The sequence below is a fragment of the Homo sapiens genome, chromosome 18 (assembly GCF_000001405.40).
Source record: "Homo sapiens chromosome 18, GRCh38.p14 Primary Assembly".
NCBI classification, from domain to species: domain Eukaryota; kingdom Metazoa; phylum Chordata; class Mammalia; order Primates; family Hominidae; genus Homo; species Homo sapiens.
In genome coordinates, this window is record NC_000018.10 from 79,446,641 (window position 1) to 79,466,059 (window position 19,419).

The 19,419-nt window shown below is 58.2% G+C and overlaps 1 protein-coding gene and 1 long non-coding RNA gene across 13 annotated transcripts in view, besides 3 other annotated features; one reads left to right on the plus strand and one right to left on the minus strand.

Moving 5' to 3' along the window:
* Positions 1–19,419, plus strand: part of NFATC1 (nuclear factor of activated T cells 1) — a 133,394-nt gene that overhangs the window by 50,711 nt on the left and 63,264 nt on the right. For 10 of the 12 annotated variants that reach the window (NM_001278669.2, NM_006162.5, NM_001278670.2 and 7 more), the window contains 4 exons: positions 2,142–2,344; positions 4,314–4,486; positions 5,036–5,176; positions 14,671–14,726. In NM_001278669.2, the coding sequence (NP_001265598.1) occupies positions 2,142–2,344; positions 4,314–4,486; positions 5,036–5,176; positions 14,671–14,726 (573 nt within the window). The remainder of the gene's footprint in view (positions 1–2,141; positions 2,345–4,313; positions 4,487–5,035; positions 5,177–14,670; positions 14,727–19,419) is intronic. The other 2 variants (XM_017025783.3, XM_047437538.1) reach the window with 1 other exon arrangement.
* LOC101927897 (uncharacterized) lies at positions 10,887–19,223 on the minus strand. The gene is made up of 3 exons (XR_001753515.2): positions 19,066–19,223; positions 16,529–16,736; positions 10,887–16,375 (listed from the first exon to the last, which is right to left on the minus strand). It is a non-coding gene; the product is annotated as an uncharacterized LOC101927897 (long non-coding RNA).
* Positions 13,757–14,116: an enhancer, noted in NCBI's record as "active region_13540". NCBI's record gives its function as "activates an Ori minimal core promoter by ATAC-STARR-seq in GM12878 lymphoblastoid cells {active_cell/tissue: GM12878}" and the evidence as "EXISTENCE:reporter gene assay evidence [ECO:0000049][PMID:35858748]".
* Positions 18,795–18,964: a silencer, noted in NCBI's record as "silent region_9575". NCBI's record gives its function as "represses an Ori minimal core promoter by ATAC-STARR-seq in GM12878 lymphoblastoid cells {active_cell/tissue: GM12878}" and the evidence as "EXISTENCE:reporter gene assay evidence [ECO:0000049][PMID:35858748]".
* Positions 19,115–19,164: an enhancer, noted in NCBI's record as "active region_13541". NCBI's record gives its function as "activates an Ori minimal core promoter by ATAC-STARR-seq in GM12878 lymphoblastoid cells {active_cell/tissue: GM12878}" and the evidence as "EXISTENCE:reporter gene assay evidence [ECO:0000049][PMID:35858748]".

Genomic DNA, 19,419 nt, shown 5'->3' on the forward strand with positions numbered 1-19,419 from the left:
AGGTCCCAGCGTCCCCCGTCCTGACTGTTTGTGTGGAGACACTCATGTATTCATATGGGAAGGGGGGCTCTATTGGAAAGGGAAGGGCTTTTTGTTCTGCAGAGTTACGTGGTCTTAGCAGTAATCACTTTGGAGTGGGCTGCTGGTGGCCTTGGGTGCAGAGACTCCTGTGGGCATCTGCGCACATGGGGGCTGTGTCCTCATCCCTGTCTGTGGCTTCCCCACCGTGTTCCCACGTGATGCCTTCGTTCAGCCTCTGGCTTTGTGTTTCAGACCCCAAACGCCCCTTCGATGTCTCAGCTGGGACCTGGGTCCCGGCTCAGCCTCACGCGGCGTCCCAGTCCCTGCCCATCAGTCTGGGCCTCACGGTCAGGCCCTCAGTGACAGCAGCCGTCGCTTCACTGTGGCCTCGTCCCTGGAGGGCTCTGAGTTCAGCCGTCGCTTCACTGTGGCCTCCTCCCTGGCGGGGCTCTGAGTTCAGCCACCGGTGAGATTGGTTTGTTCTTTACTGTGGTGACCACACGGCGGCTGAGGCTAAGCTGGAGCCACGGAGCAAGGGCCGCCTCTTCGCCTGCCCGGGCCCCTCTAGCCCCATCTTCCCTCTGCCCACTGACATCTGAGAATCCGCCGTCCCCTGGCCCGGGCTCCCCCGCCTTCTCCCTCGCCTCGCTGGCCCTGAGTGGGCAGCAGGCATCTGCGTGGTCAGGGGCAGGCGTCGCATTTTCCTGTGGCTGGAACGTGCCTGCAGGAGCCCAGGCCTGGACTCTGCACGTGGTCATCGTGCTGCAGTTGCCGTCTGTGGTCAAAGATTTTAAAGTTAGTTTAGTGAGAAAATCGACTCCAAACGTGATCAGAGGGGTCGACGCGTCCCAGGATGAGTGGTTCCCGGGGCTGGGCGTTGCCACGGGCCTTGCATGGATTTTGCTGATGAATCTCAGGGCTCTGAGGCTGGCGCTCATCGGGCCCCACTTGGGGGATGCAGAAGGGAAGGCACTCTGAACGAGGGGCCCTGTGGGAGGCCCCACTGCGCAAAGGGTTTGACTCCTGCGGCCTCCCTCAAGGCCTTTGTGCTTGCTTTGAGAATCAAACGTTCCTGTTCCAAACCAAACTTGCCTCTTGCATATGGAATCAGACTATAGTGATTGTAAATGGTAGCGTTAAAGATAAAAACAAACAGTTCTAAAAATGACTCACTGCTGAAGGCGGAACCACGCGTGGTGCAGAGAAGGAGGGTGAGAGGGAACGGCACCACACTCTGTGTTTACCTCTCAAGACGCTGATGAGCAACTCATCCCACAGAACAGCTGGTCCTGAACATGTGTGTGCCCTGCCGTGAGGCGCACACCTTCCCAGAGGCGTGAGTGGGGCCCGGCCACTAGTGTCCTGGCGGAAGCACCGGGGCTGCTCCATTTGTCTGGAGTCCTGTCCCAGTGGTGTGGGTTTTGAGTCTCACCCACACGGCGCCGGCCGAGAAGCCATGAGCGGCTCTGCAGGGTGGTGCGGACTATAGACACCTCCATGCATGGTTGCCCTAGGCAGTGTCTGCCGCCAGCGTCTGCCTCTGGACACTAGCTGCTCAGCCACCAGGACGGCGTTGAGCGCTCCCCTGCCTCTGCAGGAGGAGAGGGGCAGGGAGCCATCAGGAAGGGTGCTGGGGCCTGGGGCCCGTCGTGCTGTGTGTGTGCAAACGCAGTGTGGCGTCCCCTGATCAGGAGTGGGAGCTGCGCGCTGCCCGGTTCCAGGTTAATGGAACACAGGAAGGTGGGTCATGTCCTGCGGGGCCTCATCTGGATTTATTGGTGAAGCGAGCCTTGCACATGGCTCAGCGAGGGCTCCGCTTTCCTGCACACGCCCCCTGCCAGCTTCACTGTGGCCTCAGAATGGGCACACACAGCAAGTGTGGATGCATACGTGCAAGGCCCGTTTCAAAGCCTAAAACTCAGTGCCCAGGTCCATTGGGATAACAAGGCATTTTCTAATCTGATTTACAAAGACACCAGTATGACATGGCAGAGAAATAAAAAGGGGGCAGGGCAGGGGGACACAGGCCTCGAACCCGCCGCAGGTTTTCTCTGCGTTCCGGTGACTCCCGGCGGTCTGTGCTCTGGGTGCTGAGCAGGTGTTTTCTGTTCTCTCGCCAGCTGCATGGCTACTTGGAGAATGAGCCGCTGATGCTGCAGCTTTTCATTGGGACGGCGGACGACCGCCTGCTGCGCCCGCACGCCTTCTACCAGGTGCACCGCATCACAGGGAAGACCGTGTCCACCACCAGCCACGAGGCCATCCTCTCCAACACCAAAGTCCTGGAGATCCCACTCCTGCCGGAGAACAGCATGCGAGCCGTGTAAGCCGCGGGGGACCTCCGGCCTCTGGCAGGGGGCGGTAGGAGGGGGCGTGCCTCCCTCCCAGTCCCGGGGGGTCTGGCCAGCCCCCCGCACTTCCAGGCTGCGTGGCCAGGACACTTTTGGTTTAACAGCCAATAAGTAAACTTCACTCTTGCTTTTGACAATGGATTTGCTTCTCTCTAGGGTTTCAGCCCTGTGTATATTGCCACTTAAAATGTCAGATATGCAGCTATAAATACCTCCCTCTGCATTTAGCTTCTAAACAGGACCCCTATTTCTTTCCGAATACAGCAGTGTAATGAGAGGATGGTTAAAACGTGAGCATCAAAAAATTAAAGCAGTCAGCACATCTGGATCACGTTGACCTTTAGGAGGTTCCGACAACACGGATAGGCCTGTGCTGATGTTCTGAGTCTAATTTGACACTGTAATTTGTTTAAAAGTGAATTTTTTAGTAAGGTGAGGACGAAACATGTAACTTCCAAATAAGGCCTTACTCACTTAATCCTAGCTTGTGCTGGGCACGCTGGCCCTAACCTGTGAAGGCAGCCGAGGAGGAGGACTGCTGGTTCCCGAGAGATTGATGTGGTACTGTGGGGGGAACCGAAAACAGACACATCTGTGGGTGAATGAGTGCAGGTTGAGCTGGGACGGCTGGAACGTGCAGACCAGCAGGATGGAGCCAGGCCGGAGGGCAGGGACGGCGTCCTGCGAGGGTGACCCGCAGGCTGGGAGCCCGTGTGATGGGGAAGCTGTGTGTGGGGTGCCCCATCCAGGTGGAGCCCCGGGGGTGGGTGCAGAGGTCCTGGGGCTGCAGGAGTGGGGAGGAGTCCCGCACGGTGAGGGAGAGCGTGTAGGAGATGGCGGCGGGGGGCCACGTTGGGGATTTTAATAAGTGATTCAAAGCCTGTAAGTCAAAAAGGGAAAGCTTTCTCTCCACGTTGACTTTTCAAGCACTGGGAGGAATGTACGCACCTGGGAATTCATTCCAAATCCCTGAGTTTGCCTCGAGAGCTGTAATCCAAGTTTCCCGCAGACAGGGCACAGTCAGGTGCGTTCCACAGCCGTAGTAAACGTCCTGGCTTCGCTGGCGGCTGCGTTCACCCCACCATGATGTGGGGCAGAAAGGGTGGCCGGGAGACGCCCGCAGCCAGGACCGCGCTCCAGCCCTGTGCTGGCTGCCGCCTCGTGGGTGGTCGGGGAGTCTGTGTTTATTCTCATTCTCTTAACTTACTGAAAAATACTGCTTTTTAGTGCATTGAGAATGTATACATGGAATGTTTTACTGGAGTCTAGTTTTGAATGAAATTGTTAAGAGGTTATATGAAACCATAGAAAAAATGGGTTTTACACACAAAAAATGAGGGCTTTTAAATATAGTGGAAATAATAGAATAATTTATTCTAATTATGATTTATTATATATTTTATATAATTATAAATATATAATATTTAACCTAATAATATATAATATATAATTATTGTAAATGATAATAATAAATTGAGCTTTTTGGGAACTACTCCAAGATAAGTGAGAACAGCAGGTGCCTCTGGCCCCTCCCCTGGGCCGCTCTCTGCCGCTCTGGTGACATCCCCGTATACGTGGCCAGCGTGGGCCCTGGAGGCAGCCAGGACTTGGGACAGCTCCGACTGGACCCGCTTGGTCAGGGGTGGAGGGTGGAGGCTGGAGGCTGGAGGAAGGTGGGAAGGGGAAGGTGGAAGTGGCTTTTCTCGGGGCTGCCTCTGCTTGCCCCCTCGCCTGCGCCAATGTCAGATTCTCTCCTGCACTAGGCAAGGGCCTCACGTCGCTGGCTTCAAGGTCTTGTTTTCCTTGGGGAAGGGGAGAGTGGCCAGCTGCCTGGCACGAGCTCGTGGGGCTGGGATGAGGGCCAGAGGGTCTGGGGGGCCAGGCCTTTACGCTCCCGCGTCAGCCATTGAAAGAAAAGCTGTGGGCTTTTGTTTTGGGCAGCATTGACTGTGCCGGAATCCTGAAACTCAGAAACTCCGACATTGAACTTCGGAAAGGAGAGACGGACATCGGGAGGAAGAACACACGGGTACGGCTGGTGTTCCGCGTTCACGTCCCGCAACCCAGCGGCCGCACGCTGTCCCTGCAGGTGGCCTCCAACCCCATCGAATGCTGTAAGTGGACGTCCACGCGCCCACAGGGGAGGAAACCGTCCCGTCACATGCGCTTCACTGTCTCACCCGCTCTCAGCTTTTCGTTCGTGTAGACTTGGGACTGAACGGTTCCCACCAAACCCACCACAGTGTGTGGCCACGAGGGGTCTGAGTTGATCATGGCTGAGTTATTGCCTGTGGCCTCCCGGGGGCCCCTGGCGCTGGCTCCTCTGATGGCTGAGCATGGCCAGGGAAAGCGGTGTGGGCCGGGGCTTCCCCTCACGCTGCGCTGACCTTTGCGTATTTGTGCGATGACTGTGATTTGAGTGAAATTGGCTGAGTCTTAGGAAGATATTTTGATGACTTCTTCAGAACGAGGTGGAGACCATCAGGATGAAGTGTGCACGGCTTCTCCCCTAGAAGTAGTGGCATCCGCAGGGGTCGGCCCGCAGGTCGTGGCGGTGCTTGCTCTGGGTGGGTCGGCTCACGTGTGACCTGCTGGGTGCCACACGTGTGCCCCAGGCCGCCCACTCAGGACAGGCCCTCACTGCCCCTCTCCTTCTGATGCAGCCCAGCGCTCAGCTCAGGAGCTGCCTCTGGTGGAGAAGCAGAGCACGGACAGCTATCCGGTCGTGGGCGGGAAGAAGATGGTCCTGTCTGGCCACAACTTCCTGCAGGACTCCAAGGTCATTTTCGTGGAGAAAGCCCCAGGTATGCTCTTCACCAGGGGCCATCTGCGGCCTGGGCTTCGGCGCTGGTGGGAACCGGTTCCCAGTCGGTGGAGCAGGACCCACCTGTGCACGGTCACCGGGACGGGGCTTATGGGGTGTGGCACGGAGCAGAGGCTCTGCGTGGCCCGTGTCTGCATCCGGCTGTGGGTTTTTGTGTGAGCCGACAGCTGTGCTGCTGAAGGGAAGAGGTGGATGTTTATTTCTGGGGCCGCCGGGGCCACTGCACTCACATCGCTGCTGATACTCAGGGAGCCCACGGGCTGGGGACGCAGAGGAGGGCAAGACGCATTTGCTGGCTTTGCTGGGGTCCTCCATCTGCAGAGAGTGGACGCTTCGGGGGTCAGTTAGCAGCAGGGCAGGAGGGAGCTCCCCTCCGGGGCCTTCCCCTCCCGCCAGCATTCCTGGGGTCGGAGGCAGGGATGGGGTGGGTGCCGCAGACGGCGGGAGCTGGGGTGGTCTTTAATGCCACAGCCGTGGTGTGTGTGAGGCTCTTGTGCCCCAAGGGCACAGGTCACCCCTGCCTCCAGGTGTTGCGCTGGCCCAGCCTGGAGGCTCCGGGGCTGAACTTGGAAGGGCAGCAGGGGTGTCCTCGGAGTGATGTTCCTCCTGGGGCCGTCACGCCTGTGGTTCTGTGCTGCCCACGGGAGACTGTCCTGCGGGGATTGGGCTCACAGAGTGGCTCCCAGCCCAGGTCAGTTCCATGCAGACGCCGGGCCCCAGCACTCTCATCCCAGAGGGGTGGCCTCGCCGGCTCCGAGCAGAGTGTGTGAAGACAGTGGGCTGCACTGATGGGAAACTGGCATTGCAGGGAGAGTGGGCACCAGTGTAGCTGGGCACAGGGACCCTAGCCCAGCCCTCAAGGGGGTTCAGGCAGAGTGGGCCTGGCTCTCCGCAAAGCCTGCCGTGAGCTCCCTGGTTTTGGGGGTTCCTGGTGCCTTGCTGGGCCTCTGCCCAGGGTGCGCCAGGTGAGGGGCATGCCCCCACAAGGCCTGTTTTGTGATATTTTTTTCCTTTTGTACACTTACCAATTGGAATTCTTTTGCACTTACTCCAATCCCTGGAAACCGCGGAGGCATTCAGCCTTGATAATGGGGTCTTGATTTGTACAGTTTGCCGGAAACTTAAGTGCTTCAATCAAAATCGGCTTTAGAGGTCTTTGACTCTAACTTGGCTTCCTATAGAATCAGGGCTTAATTGGAAAACATGTTTTAAATTACAGAGAAAACCAACTAAGGGCAGTGACCGGGAAGGCATTTGCATTGCCCGTGCCTTCTCGGGAGGAGGCTAATTTTGAAATAATTTTCCCTTCAGAGCTTTCGGTGTGTGTCCACGCGTTGGCGGAGAAACACTTCGCCCACAGTGTAGGGCCTCGCTTGGGCCAAGACTGGCCAGAACCGTGGCTCCCAGCTTCTGCTTTTCAAAGCCCAGACCTGAGCAGCCTCCTTGCTTTTTCTTCTGCCCAGAGAGGCCTGGGCACCTTGGCAGAGCCTCCCCCCGAATGCAGTCCGCAGAGGTGCCCCAGCTCCTGCCCTAGCCAAGTTACTGTGCTGAGTTGGTGCCACGGCGCCATGGGTAAGGGCAGCCACCAGCCTGCGAGGGCCAGGAGCCAAGGGGATGCAGGACCAGCCCTGGCCTCATGCGGCCGCCCCTACAGGCAGCCCCTCCTGCCTTCATCATCACTGTGAGCTGTGGGGTCAGCAGGCCGGAGGGGTACCTGTTCTGCCCTTAAGCTCGGCTGCCACAGCCACACTTCTGGGCAATGCCAGTTTGTCTGCCCATGTCCTCCTCTTGTCCCATGAGGTCAGGGTGGGTCTCTGACCCTCTGCCAGCACCAGCCGGCGTCTGGTATACAGCAGGTGAGCCATAAATGAATAGGTGCTGTGCTCGAGAGCACGTGAAGCTGTGAATACTGCAGGGATGAAGCCAGACCACGTTGATAATTTTATTCTTTATAGTTGAATAAGATAATTTGCATATTCATACACACACAAGCACATTCCATGTTTTCAAAAGTGGAGAACAAATGTCCACATAATTTTCTTCCTCCACTTCCGGCTTCTCAGGCGGGAGCCGTTGCTTACAACACGTGCTGATGTGCAGTGACAGGTTGGTGCAGCAGAAAGCCCCACATCCTCATCCTGGCAACGAGAGAAACCACTAAACTGAATTTAAATTAAAAACACAGTTGCCCTCTCGTTTTCTGATGGGATCGTCTGGTCTGTTTAAAGTTCTGTTTTAGACTGCTCTTGCAGATGGAACCAGGGCCGGGTGTGAGCTCAGGAGGGGAGGTTCCTGCTGAGGAAATCCGTCAGTAGGGCAGTTGAAGTGGCTTCTCCAGGAAGGGCCCCTGCGTCTCTCGACTGTCCTGCTCATTCCGAGGGTGCAGATGGTTGTAGCTGTTGGGAATGTTGGCTCTGGACACAGGCCAGGGTCGGCTCCACCCTGTCCTTCTCTGGAGTACGTAGGAAGCTCATTGTCCAGGCCAGCTCAGCCTCTGCGTATCAGCCAGGCCACCTTCAGCTGCTATGGGTTCACAGCATCTCTGAGCTTTGGGAAGTTTTAGATGGAGCGGCTCCACTGCCCTGGAAGGCTGGGAGAAGCTGGTGTTGGCCTCATGAGGAAGGGAGTCCCCGCAGCAGGGCTGCATTGCGGGGAGCCGGCCGGGCAAGGGCATGGCTCGCCGTAGCCTGGGTGCCGGGTCCCTCTGGGATGCTCCAGCAGGGCAGGAGGAGGGTGGGTGTTTGAGTCTCAGCCTGCGCTCCACGGAGCTTCCTCCCAGGTGTCTCAGGGCGGCGCAAAAGGCCGGGAGCGGAGTCAGCCTTTCTCTGAGGACTTAGTTTACAGCTTCCTCGGAAAACGACATTTTCCGATGATGAAAATCTGTGAGGAATGTTCTTCCAGGAGGCAGGTTGGCTGTGGGGAGCCGAGGGCCGGGTGTTGGTTTAGAAGCCCCTGGTAGCATCACAAGAACCCCCAGTTTCCAAGGCTGCAGGGGTTCAGCTGCAGGAAGTGGGAACCACACCCCTCTCCCACCCACACCCCTCCCCACCTTCACACCTGCACCCCTCCCGCCTGTTAAAGATCACTGTGTCTGTGTTCCGATGTGAGGCACCTCTCTGTACACGCGTGAACGTTGAAGCTGCTGAGGGACACACTAACGTTCAACATAAACGAAACGCCCGAAGAACGCCCGCGTGAAACGTGAGCTCGGGCTGTGTCTAGAGCCTGGCTGAGATGAGACAGAAGGCGCAAGGTTCTGAGATGTGGATGCATCAAACATGAGCCAGTTCTCGATGCTGGAGCTGAACAACCTCCTTTTCTTAAGTCACGCGTCTGTTCTGGTGCCGTTTTTTAAAAACATCAGCGAAGCCTGTTTTGGTGTCGCTGCGCGGAAGCCACACTACGACGCCGGGGGTGAAGACTCCCACTCCGTTTGCCAGCGATCGCGCAGCGGGCAGGGCTCAGCGGGTGGGGCTGCACGGGTCTCGTCAGTGGTCGTTTCTGTGGCCGCCGTGACTGGCAGGCCAGCTGGGGCCTGGACGGCCGGCGTCTCCTTCTCCAGGTAATCAGGGCCCCTCTACGTGGCCTCCCGGGGCCCCTCTGGGGAGGCAGCCTGGCATCTCACAGGCGGCCGGGGCTCCCGGGAAGCAGAGACGGGCTGTGCCAGGGCTCCTAGGCCCAGGCCTGGACCCAGTGCCGTGCCAGCCACCACCCCAGGGGCCCTGCCCTGGTTCGCAGGGAGACACACAGAAATGTGGGAGGCCGGGTGGCCTGCACGGTGGGAGCGAGTAGACAGAGCCCCTCCCGGAGGCCCCCAGCCCAGCACATCCAGAGCCCTCCCCTGAGAAACCCCAGACAGCCAGGTTCGCCCCAAACCCAACATGGTGGGACCCCAGCTCGCCCCCCATCTCACGGCCGCCCCATCCCACGGCCGCCCCATCCCACGGCCGCCCCATCCCACGGCCGCCCCATCCTCTGGCCCTGGATGTTACCACGTGGAGAAGACAGGCCTGTGGGCAGGCACTAGCCACACTGCAGGAGACGCAGGCTAGGTTTCCAGATTTCTCCACACAGCAGCAGGCGGAGGGCCTGCCTCCCACCTCACTGGGAGGGCCAGGACTCCAAATCTGGGCCAAATGTATGTTGTTATTTTTCAAATAAAGGGACCAAAGGCCCGGGCCTTTCCAAGGCTGCCCTGCCATGGGACCGTGACCGGTGTGGTTCCCAGGACTTCCACAAGCTCTGACAGGCACCTGGCCGTTGTTTTGGGAGGCTCCACCCAGCAGCCACAGAGCTTAGCTGGCAGCTGGCAGGACACTTGCAAGGACACGGAACTGTCACGGAACCACCGTGGCTTTGGGCTGTCACGGAACCACCGTGGCCTTGGCAGCTGCTGGTCCTATGCCGGGACACACACATTCACCGCGGCGAGTGTGGGGTGCATGTCCCCAGGCAGAGGCCATGTCATCCAGGTGCAGGAAGCGCCAGGCAAGGACCCTCCTGTCCGCCCAGAGAGCCGGGTCAGAGGAGTCCCCAGGCCTGAAGCCACTCCCTCCGGGCTCACCTTCAGGTTCCTTCAAGGCCAGGGGGAGGTTCACCCACCCCAGGGTGTCGCGGAAGCCCCGAGGCCCCTGCAGGCCCCGATTTCCCCAGTGAGGCATCAGTGCCCGCTGGCCACCCTGCCCCTCTCCTCCTCCAGCTGCCCCTGCTCCTTGTTTTCCTAGGGTCTGGTTCTTTCTCGCGGGCGGGGAGGAGGTGAGGGTCAGGGCCCCTGTAAGGCAGACTAGTGGCACTGCCCCTTTCGGCCCTTGCTGTCCCTCCTCTGTCCCTTGTGGAAGGTCTCGGCCTGGGGCAGAGGAGCGGGCCGAGGAGGAAGGTGGAGTCCAGGTGGGTGGTGGGGTCTGTGTTCTGTTTTAGTCGTGCGGGATGTAGGCCGAGGGAGATGGACCCGGGGGATGGCTGCCTCTGTGGCATCTCCGTGGTGTGCCCTCTGACGGGGCTGGGTGAGCAAGGAGGACACAGCTGGGAATTCCCAGCTCCAGCGTCCGCGGCACGGGCAGCCTCCCTGTGTGGAGCAGCTCAGCTGTCACCTCCTGAAGATGTTGGATGCTGGCCCCGAAGGCAGCATCGCAATGACAACACCTTCAGAGGTGTCCATCCCAACAGTTTAAAGGCCAAATGCAGATCTTTCAGATTTGTGTTTTCAGGGAGAAGGTGACATTGCTGGGCGCCTGTGAGTGTGGACAGACATCACTGTCGCCGTGTGCTCCGAGAGAGGAGAGTTGGGGCTGCTTTGTCACCACATGGCGTCTTTGGGAGCAGGACAGGTGGCCGGGCTGAACCCCCAGGCTTCTCTGTTTGCTCCCAGAGACCACACAGGGAAGGCAAGGAGGGCAGCGCCCGGGGAAGAGACACCTGCCCGTGTCTTCCTCATGCCCTGAGGATGGCTCAGTGGCCCAGATGGTCCAGGACCCCTAGAATTGAGTGATGACCCCACAGTTCTCATCAAGCCGCATTCTGGATAGCGCTAGGGGCGACTCTCAGACTCCCCCTGCCTGGGCCCCGCTGGTGTGGGGAGGCCACGCGTCACGTCAGTCCCCACTGCAGGAGGAGGGGCCGGGCTTCTGGCTCCCCTCCCTCCTCTCCCTTCTCAGGCCTTTTGGGATCATACACGACAAAGTCACCCATGGTCATGTTGGCTAGTTTCTTTTTTATATCAGCTTTATCGAAATATGATCTATACACCATTTAATTCACTCAAAGTGTATAATTCGGTGGGTTTTGGTGGCTTCACATAATTATGCGGCCACCACCAATTTCAGAACATTTTCTTGTCCCCAGAAAGAAACCCTTGCCCATGAGTGGCCACCCCTGCTCTCCCTTCCCCCACCCCGGCTCCGACAACCCCAATGCCCCCTCGCCGTGGCCTCGCCTGGTCTGGCTGCTCCCTGCTGGCCTGCTGGGGAACCCCATCCTGCCGGCTGTGGTGCCTGGCAGCTTCTGTGGAGCGTGGCATCCTCCATGTTCCCTCGTTGGTGTGGGTCAGGGCGTAGGGTCCTCAGGTCCCCTCGTTGGCACAGGTCGGGACGTGGGGTCTTTCTGTGGCTGAGGGAAGCCCACCGTGTGGCTGCCCACACCTGTCTGTCGATGGCACTAGGCCACGTCCACCCTGTGGAGATGATCGTGGAAAAGCCGCCATGAACCTCAGTGCGTGAGTCCTGTGTGGACGCCTGCCTGTCTCCTGAGCACATGCCTCGGTGTGAAAGGGCTGTGGGTCACAGGGTGGCTCCGTGTGAGGCCCTGCAGGCAGATGTGCAGCAGGGCTGGGTGGCTGTTTCCCCTCCAGAATCTCCTCTGGGAGCCAGGCTGGGACAGACTCCTGGGGGAGAGCCGGGGATGGATGAGACGCCCCAGGGACGCTCGCTTCTGGGCATGAGGATGCTGTGGGGTGCACGGCACGAGGACGCCGCGGGGAGCAGGGCACGAGGATGCTTTGGGGAGCAGGGCAGGAGACGCCGTGGGGAGCAGGGCTCGAGGGCACCGTGGGACCCAGGGACGCTGCTGCTTCCACCAGCGGCCCTCGTGGCTTTCTTTGTGGAAACAGTGGCTCAGCATCAGCACCGGCGTGGGGGTGGCCCGGCTCCGGGCGGCGGGTCCTGGCCGGTCTGGGAGGCTCCTGGGCCCGCAGGCCTGCCTGTGTGGAAACCTCGCGGGTGTGGCAGGGAAGCCTCCCGATGACTCAGACTGCAGGGAATTCCCTAATGATCTGGAATATTTTTACTCCTGCACTCGGGCAGTTTCCTACTAAGGACTCGGAGCTCTGATAAGGCTGAACACAAAGGCCCTTTCAGGACCGGCTGCCTTCCTTCCTGCCAGGGGCTGAGTTTTGAACAGCACGGGGGCCGGCGCTGCCCGTCCGGGCCTCCACGGAGCTGGGAGCCGCCATGGCGATGCTCTTGCCGGCGGGACGCGGCCCTGCGTCTCCTTTCCTGAGATGCGAGGTTATTTCCATCTTTCAGCAGTCTCGGCGCTTTGTCTTGTTCTGGAAGCAATTGCTAGATAGACATTTCTGGCCGTGAATACTATTGCTTTTGAAAGACAATTACTTTATGATCCTTAAGCAGAAACAGAAAGCCTGCCCTCACCCTCACCCTGGTCGACCTGAAACGGCCACAGACGTCGGACACCACGGGGAGAGGCCCCACCTCCAAGAGGGAAGGCCACAGGCGCTGGCTCAGCCGGGGTCTTTGAGGAAGGCAGGGATGTTTGTCGGTTCCCCGCACTTTTAGGGGAAGTCTAAGCGTATCTGCTCCCACCTGCGCAGGAATTGCAGGGTGCGGGTGCTCCCAGGTGTGCGGTGGAGGCTGCTCCATGGCAGCTGCTGAGCTGGGCCTGGCTGGCCACGCAGACGTGGCTCCCCTTGGGGCCGCTCCGGCAAGGATGGTTCCCCACAGGCCCACGAGGCACGGGTGGGAAAAGACGCCTCCATGCCGTCGTTCCATTTGCTTTTCATGGACTCACCGCTGCGGGGCAGCCACCTGGAGGAGGCCGCGGGGGAGACGGCTGGAGTCCCTCTTGCTTCTCGGGACATAAAGAGAGGAGCAGGCTGTGTTGGCCTCGGCTGCAAAAATGGCGTCCCCTCGGGGTGTCATTAAACGCGACATCCTGGCCCCGTGTGCGCCTCAGTGTCCCTCCTGCTCAGCACAGTCACTGAACCTCCCTCCCCTTGCCAGTGCCAAAGGCCTCCACAGCGTCAGGGAAGTTCCTAGGGAAGCTGAAGTTGTGACTCTGAGCTTCCTGGGCTGGGCGGGAAGCAAACTATAGCCTGTTGCGCCCGGGAGCTTCAGAGGACCACAGCCTTTTGTGGGGTGTGGACGGGGCCTCACCCCAAAGATGGACTTTGTCATAAGAAAAGTTCAAAAGTCATTTTCAAAAGGTGCCAAACAACCAGAAGACTTAGTTACACACAGAGTGATTTGGATTTTTATGAAGTGGGGGTGGAGGGGCTTCTGAGTGGTGCATCTGGGCTGGGGGCTTCTGGGAATCCTGTGGCATCAGCACCTGTGCTGGAGTGAAAACGCCTCTTTCTTCCCAGCTCCTGAGCTTTCCAGGGCCTGGAGGACTTGCTGCTTCATGAAACTCAGATGGCTTCAAGCGCAACTGAGTGTACTTTTTAGTTTCCTGTAATTTTTTTCCTAGAGGAGAGAGGGATGCCAGGCTCTATCGAGTGGGTTCATCTGGTGGGTAATTTGCGTGGGGACCTCGGGCCTCCCGGGCTGGCATGGCCAGGGCTTGGCTGGGCGGCTCTGGGGTCCTGTGTGACTCACATTTCCTCTCCACCCTCCACCCAGGCAGCAGCCCGGCACTGTAACAGAGAAAAAGGAGATTTTGTCTGATTTATCAGTAATTGAGGGTTTGTAACAGACACACATTTTCTTCTTTGGAGACAGAGCATAAGGATAAACTTAAGTGTGTATACCTGTAACTGTTCATTTTGGGAACAGACTTTATTTTGGAGAAGATAAAAGGCAGGAAGAGACTCTGTAGGAGATTGACATCTGTTAATTTGAGATAATTGCCCCAAACTCAGCCCATCTGAGGGGCCAGGCCGTGCACACACCCAGGCTGTGGTGGGGCCGCCTTGTCCGTGTGCGCCTGGAGCCCCCACTCTGCCAGGCCTGGAGCAGAGAGCACAACGCGTCCTTTCACTACACCTCTGGGAGCCTTTTTATTTTTTAAAAACATGCAAATGGCCACTGGGGAAATGCCAAAAATACCTCGTGTTTTGCATTTCTGTCTCCTGATGGGCAAGAAGTTGTCAGAGGAAGGCTCTTCTCATTTACCCAGTGGTTCCTTTGCACACAGGCAGGGCCAGCGGCCAGGCCCTCATCCACCAGAGTAGACCCCAGCACGAGCAGGCGTCGCACCCTGGCGTGGAGCCCCCGGCCCCCCGTCACTACTCTCACACCTCCTGCATCCCTGGGAGGCTGGGCTGGGAACTGCAGAGCCGGGTCCCAGGTCCACGCACAGACGCCCTGCACACGCTCTGCTGATGGGGTACCTGCTCCCCCTCACACCTGCTCTCCCTGGAGAGGACGAGGGCATAGAGACCCTCCCGTGACCTGTCCTGAGGCTGTGAGAGGCCAGCAGATGCAGGGCCAGGACGGATTCCTGAGGATGCCCCTGCCCTGTAGTCCCTCCTACGCCGGGCTGGGGTCAGAACAAGCCCTGAGCCGCGTGTCCTCAGCTTCTCCAGGCTCCCAGGGCAACTTTGGTGTCGAGCTCGGGGCCCTGCCAGGGCACGTGGCTCCTGAGGTGCTGCCCTCGACAAAGCCCTGGGATGGGCCTACGTGGGTCTCCTGGGACAAGGCGCCCTCCTGGCTCAGGGCCCTGGGTCTGGATCACGTGGGGGTGTCTGGGGAGGGGGCTCCCCACCACACAGAGTCACAGACGTTTCCTGCTCCTTTCTTCCAGATGGCCACCATGTCTGGGAGATGGAAGCGAAAACTGACCGGGACCTGTGCAAGCCGGTGAGTGCCTTTGGCGCAGCTGGAGCTACTGTGGGTCCCCAGGGCTTGGGAGGCTGGGGTCTGCTGGAGCCACTGCGGGTCCCCAGGCCTTGGGAGGCTGGGGTTCCTGTTTCTTAGAATGAAACAAATAAAAATAGTGCATAGAGTAACAGAACCAGTAACAAACAGGATCACCAAGTACTCGCCAAAGCACCATGTGCTGTCACCCAACGTGTCAGGTCACGTCAGAGCCCTGGCGGCCGGGGACGGTGCTGGACAGGCTGAGGGCCACCTCACACACCCTGGCGCTGAGACAGCCCAGGGAAGGTCGTCTCACACGGACCCTCCCGCCCTTTGCTGTCCCCTTGCTGTCACCATCACCTGGCACAGAGCAGGCTCCTGGGAGTCAGTGCTGTGCTGAGTTCCCGGGGGGTGGTCAGCACCTGCCCAGACCCGCTCACAGCACCGAGGGCAGGGCTCTGCGGCATCCCCAGTGGGGACTCCTCACCCCGTCCTCCGAGGCCACTGATTGCGCCGACCTCCCCTGTGATGGTGTCCCAAGCACAAGAGCCTGGGCGTGGCTCCTGGACTCGCGATTGGCCACAGCCTGTTAGCGGGCGGTGCATGTGTGCGGGGTCGTGGCAGACGCGTGGCTGGGTCACACTTCTGCTGTCACCGGGCCGTTTCCAACTCCCCCAGTCACCTGCCACAGCTTCCCTGGCACCGCGTGCATACAGCCGGTGCCTGAGGATAATGACCGTCCTCGGATTGGAGATGACCTTTTGTGTGGATGGCTGTAGCTGCTCCCACATCTCCTGCACGGCACCGGTTGCTGCGTGCATCTCTCCCATCCCTGCGCTTCTGATCCATGTGCTCATGTTTAAAGTGGTTTCTTGGAGGCAACGTCTTCTTGGGTGGTGTCTTGGATCCTCTCTGACGCTGTCTTGTAATTGGCACATGGAGACCATTGATGTTTAGGTCTTTAGTTTTGTTTGTTTTTGTTTTTTTGAAACAGAGTTTCGTTCTTGTTGCCCAGGCTGGAGTGCAGTGGCGTGATCTCGGCTCACTGCAACCTCCACCTCCCGAGTAGCTGGGATTACAGGCATGCACCACCACGCCCGGCTAATTTTGTAATTTTAGTAGAGATGGGGTTTTGCCATGTTGGCCAAGCAGGTCTGGAACTCCCAACCTCAGGTGATCCGCCCGCCTCGGCCTCCCAAAGTGCTGGGATTACAGGCATGAGCCACCGTGCCCGGCCTGATGTTCACTTATTATTGATACAGTTGGATTGATCCCTACGTTGGATTTTTTGAGTGTTCTGTTTAGTCCTATAAAAGCAGTAGAAATCTCTAGGCCAACATAAGATGCCACATGGCTCACAAGGGAGTTTTGAAGACATGAACATGCTTCTGAGCTCAGCAGTGTGTGTCCCTGCGGGTCAGGGAAGTCTTGTGCACCCACTCAGTGTGTGTCCCTGCGGGTCGGGGAGTCTTGTGCACCCACTCAGTGTGTGCAGTTGGAAGCTGGTCCCTTCAGAAACCTCAGGGAAGAGCCCATCTCGGGCGGCTGGAGGCAGGTGGACAGGACACCGGGGAGGAGTCTTGAGGTCGTCTCCTGTTGGTGGGACGATCGGTGGCCTCCATGGAGAGCGGTGCTGGCACCTTCACTCCCTGTCCCAAGAGGTGGCTCTGTCAGAAAGCAGCGTCTTCCACCCTGCGACTTCAGCGCCCTTCCCCCAAGGACCCATCCCCTTCCCAGAACCTTTTCCAAGTGGTTATCAGATGGAAAAGGTTCCTCCCTGGCCCTGGGTGAAGTGAGCTCACCTGCACCTTCAGTGGTGCTCAGGCCTCCCCTGAAGCTCCTGGCACTCACAGGGTTCCAGTTCAATGCTGTCGCTTTTCTTGCCTTCACCTGAGAAGCCCCTTGAGGAAAGCTGGAGGCCCCAGGGCAGGCCAGTGTTCAGAGGAAGGAGTCCCGGCCTACACGGCCCGTTGTCCGCAGAGCCAGTGAGTCAGGGTGCTCAGAAGGGTCCTGGGAACGGCCAGCCACAGGCAAAGGCAGCTGGAGCTGCTGTACCGGCCTCTCCTCCCCGCAGCCTGTTCCCGTGTCCATACCGGCCTCTCCTCCCCACAGCCCGTTCCCGTGTCCATACCGGCCTCTCTTCCCCACGGCCATTTCCTGTGCCCATAAGGTCTGTGGCTCCCCGCTGGCCGGGCGTTTGCAACTGCCCAGGGGGCTGGCAGCCTTCGTCCATGGGGTCATTGCCAGGCCTCCCCACCTACTGGGTGTCTGATTCGTTCCTCCCCACTGGGCTGCCCTTGCTCTGCTGTGCGTCTGTGCTGGGTACACTGACATCTGGCTCTCCGTCCCTCTGCCTGCAGGCAGTGTACCCTGGTGCCTGGCCTCGTGCTGCCTACCCTCCCTAGCCCTGGCTCCGTCGGGGTCTCCACAGGCTTCGCCAGCCCCGCACATGCACGCGGGTTGCGGGATGCAGGATGCCGGAGCTGGGCTGCCCAGCCGCTGGCCTGCCCTGTCCCCCTAGGCAGGGAGAGCAGCCAGGAGGAGCCGTGAGCCTTTCTGCACTGAAAACAATCCCAGCCAAGCTGACATCCACATTCTCTGTGATTTTCTGTTTTACTTTTGACACTGGCATATTTCGAGGGAAGCTTAACAGCTGTATGTTTTAAAAGAAACTTAAGAGCACATGTGAAAAATTGTGTACTTCAAGTTTACTGGTTGTTTTTTGTTTGTTTTTTGTTTTTTTGAGACAGTCTCGCTCTGTCACCCAGATTGGAGTGCAGTGGCTCGATCTCAGCTCATTGCAGCCTCCGCCTCCCAGGTTCAAGCGATTCTCATGCCTCAGTCTCCCGAGTATCTAGGACTACAGGCGCCGGCCACTATGCCTGGCTAATGTTTTTGTATTTTTTTTAGTAGAGACGGGATTTCACCATGTTGTCCAGGCTGGTCTTGAACTCCTGACCTCAGGTGATCCGCCCACCGTGGCCTCCCAAAGTGCTGGGATTACAGGCGTGAGCCACCGCGCCCGGCCTGCTGTTTCATTTTTAATCTCTTAAATGGAGTTTGCTTTAATATATATATTTTCTCATCATAAAGGAACTTCATACTCATCGTGGACATTTGGACAATATAAAAAAGGAAATAAAACCTAGTGTAGTCTCACCAACTGAGACATAACCACTGCTGGCATTGGGCATGCGTCCTGCTCCATTTGCTGCTGTGTGTGGATGTTCACGCAGACACACACACACACACAGAGTACATTATATTGTGGATATATGTGTTTGTGTGTGTGTGTGTGTGTGTGTATATGTATGTGTATATATATATATTTATTTATTTATTTATTTTTTTTTTTTTGAGACAGGGTCTTGCTGTGTCATCCAGGCTGGAGTCCAGTGGCTTGATCATGGCTCACTGCAGCCTTGACCTCCCAGGCTGAAGCAGTTCTCATGCCTCAGCCTCGCCAGTAGCTGGGGACACAAGTGTGCCCTATTCTGCCCAGCTAATTTTTAAATTTTTGTAGAGATGGGGCCTCGCGGTGTTGCCCAGGCTGGTCCTGAACTCCTGGGCTCAAGCAATCCTCCCACCTGGGCCTCCCAAAGTGCTGGGATGACAGGTGTGAGCCACCGTGCCCGCCTGTGCATATTTTGTGAACAAAATGGGATGTGCTGTGTCTACGGTTTTTGTACTTTCTATAAGTAAGTGTATGAGCTTCATCTCAACAGTGGAGTTTAAAGCAGGTTGCGTAGGTGCTGGTGCCATTTGGAACCCGTATTTTTTCCGGTACAGACGAGTTTCCCTCTCCCTTCCTGTTCTTCCGTGTTTCTTCTTTATCGCTTCCTTCTGTGTGTATTTAAGTGGCAGTGCTCCCACGGAGATAGTATTTTTGTCATATAATTTGTCTATTTAGAGAGTTGAAGTGGGTTGGCCTGTGCCCACATCAACATAGGCCCTTCCAGTCAGGTAGGACTTAGGAAAACTGGCATGCACCGTCCAGCATGCCCCACAGGGTCCCACCTCCACCCATCCAGCCTGCCTCACGGGGTCCCCGCCTCCACCCAGTCTGGCCCACAAGGTCCCGCCTCCGCCCAGCCAGCCTGGCCCACGGAATCTCCGCCTCTGCCCAGCCAGCCTGGCCCATGTGGTCCCCGCCTCCACCCATCCAGCCTGTCCCACAGGGTCCCCGCCTCCACCCCAGCCTGTCCCGTGGGGTCCCCGCCTCCCCACTCCTCGCTGCTGCCTGTGAGTGCCTCCCGGCCCGTTACTATTTCAGTCTCGGCTTCCATGAGACGTTTCCTTCTTGTCTCTTCCCTCAGCTGCTTCTGCTCTAAAGACCCACCTGGTGTAGCTGCTGACTCCATCGCAGCTGCCCTGAGCACTGCTGAATTCAGAAAACAGCCTTGGAGGAAGCGTCTCTTTATCCCCCGTACAAATGCCGAGACAGGCTCCGGGTGGCCAGAGCTTCCCGGGTCAGCCCAGGAGATGGCCCAGACCCACAGTGCTCTGGGGGCAGCCCAGGCCCCGCCCACTGACAGCACTCATGGCCCCTCCGGCGGCAGCTTCAGCTCCCCTGGGGCAGCTCTGATGCGGGGCAAAGGCAGGAAGACGCCCATGTGCCATGGCTTCTGCTTCTTCCCAATGAACTGCAGTTAATTAAACAACACAGACCTGCTGCCAGGAGAAAGTGTGGCCC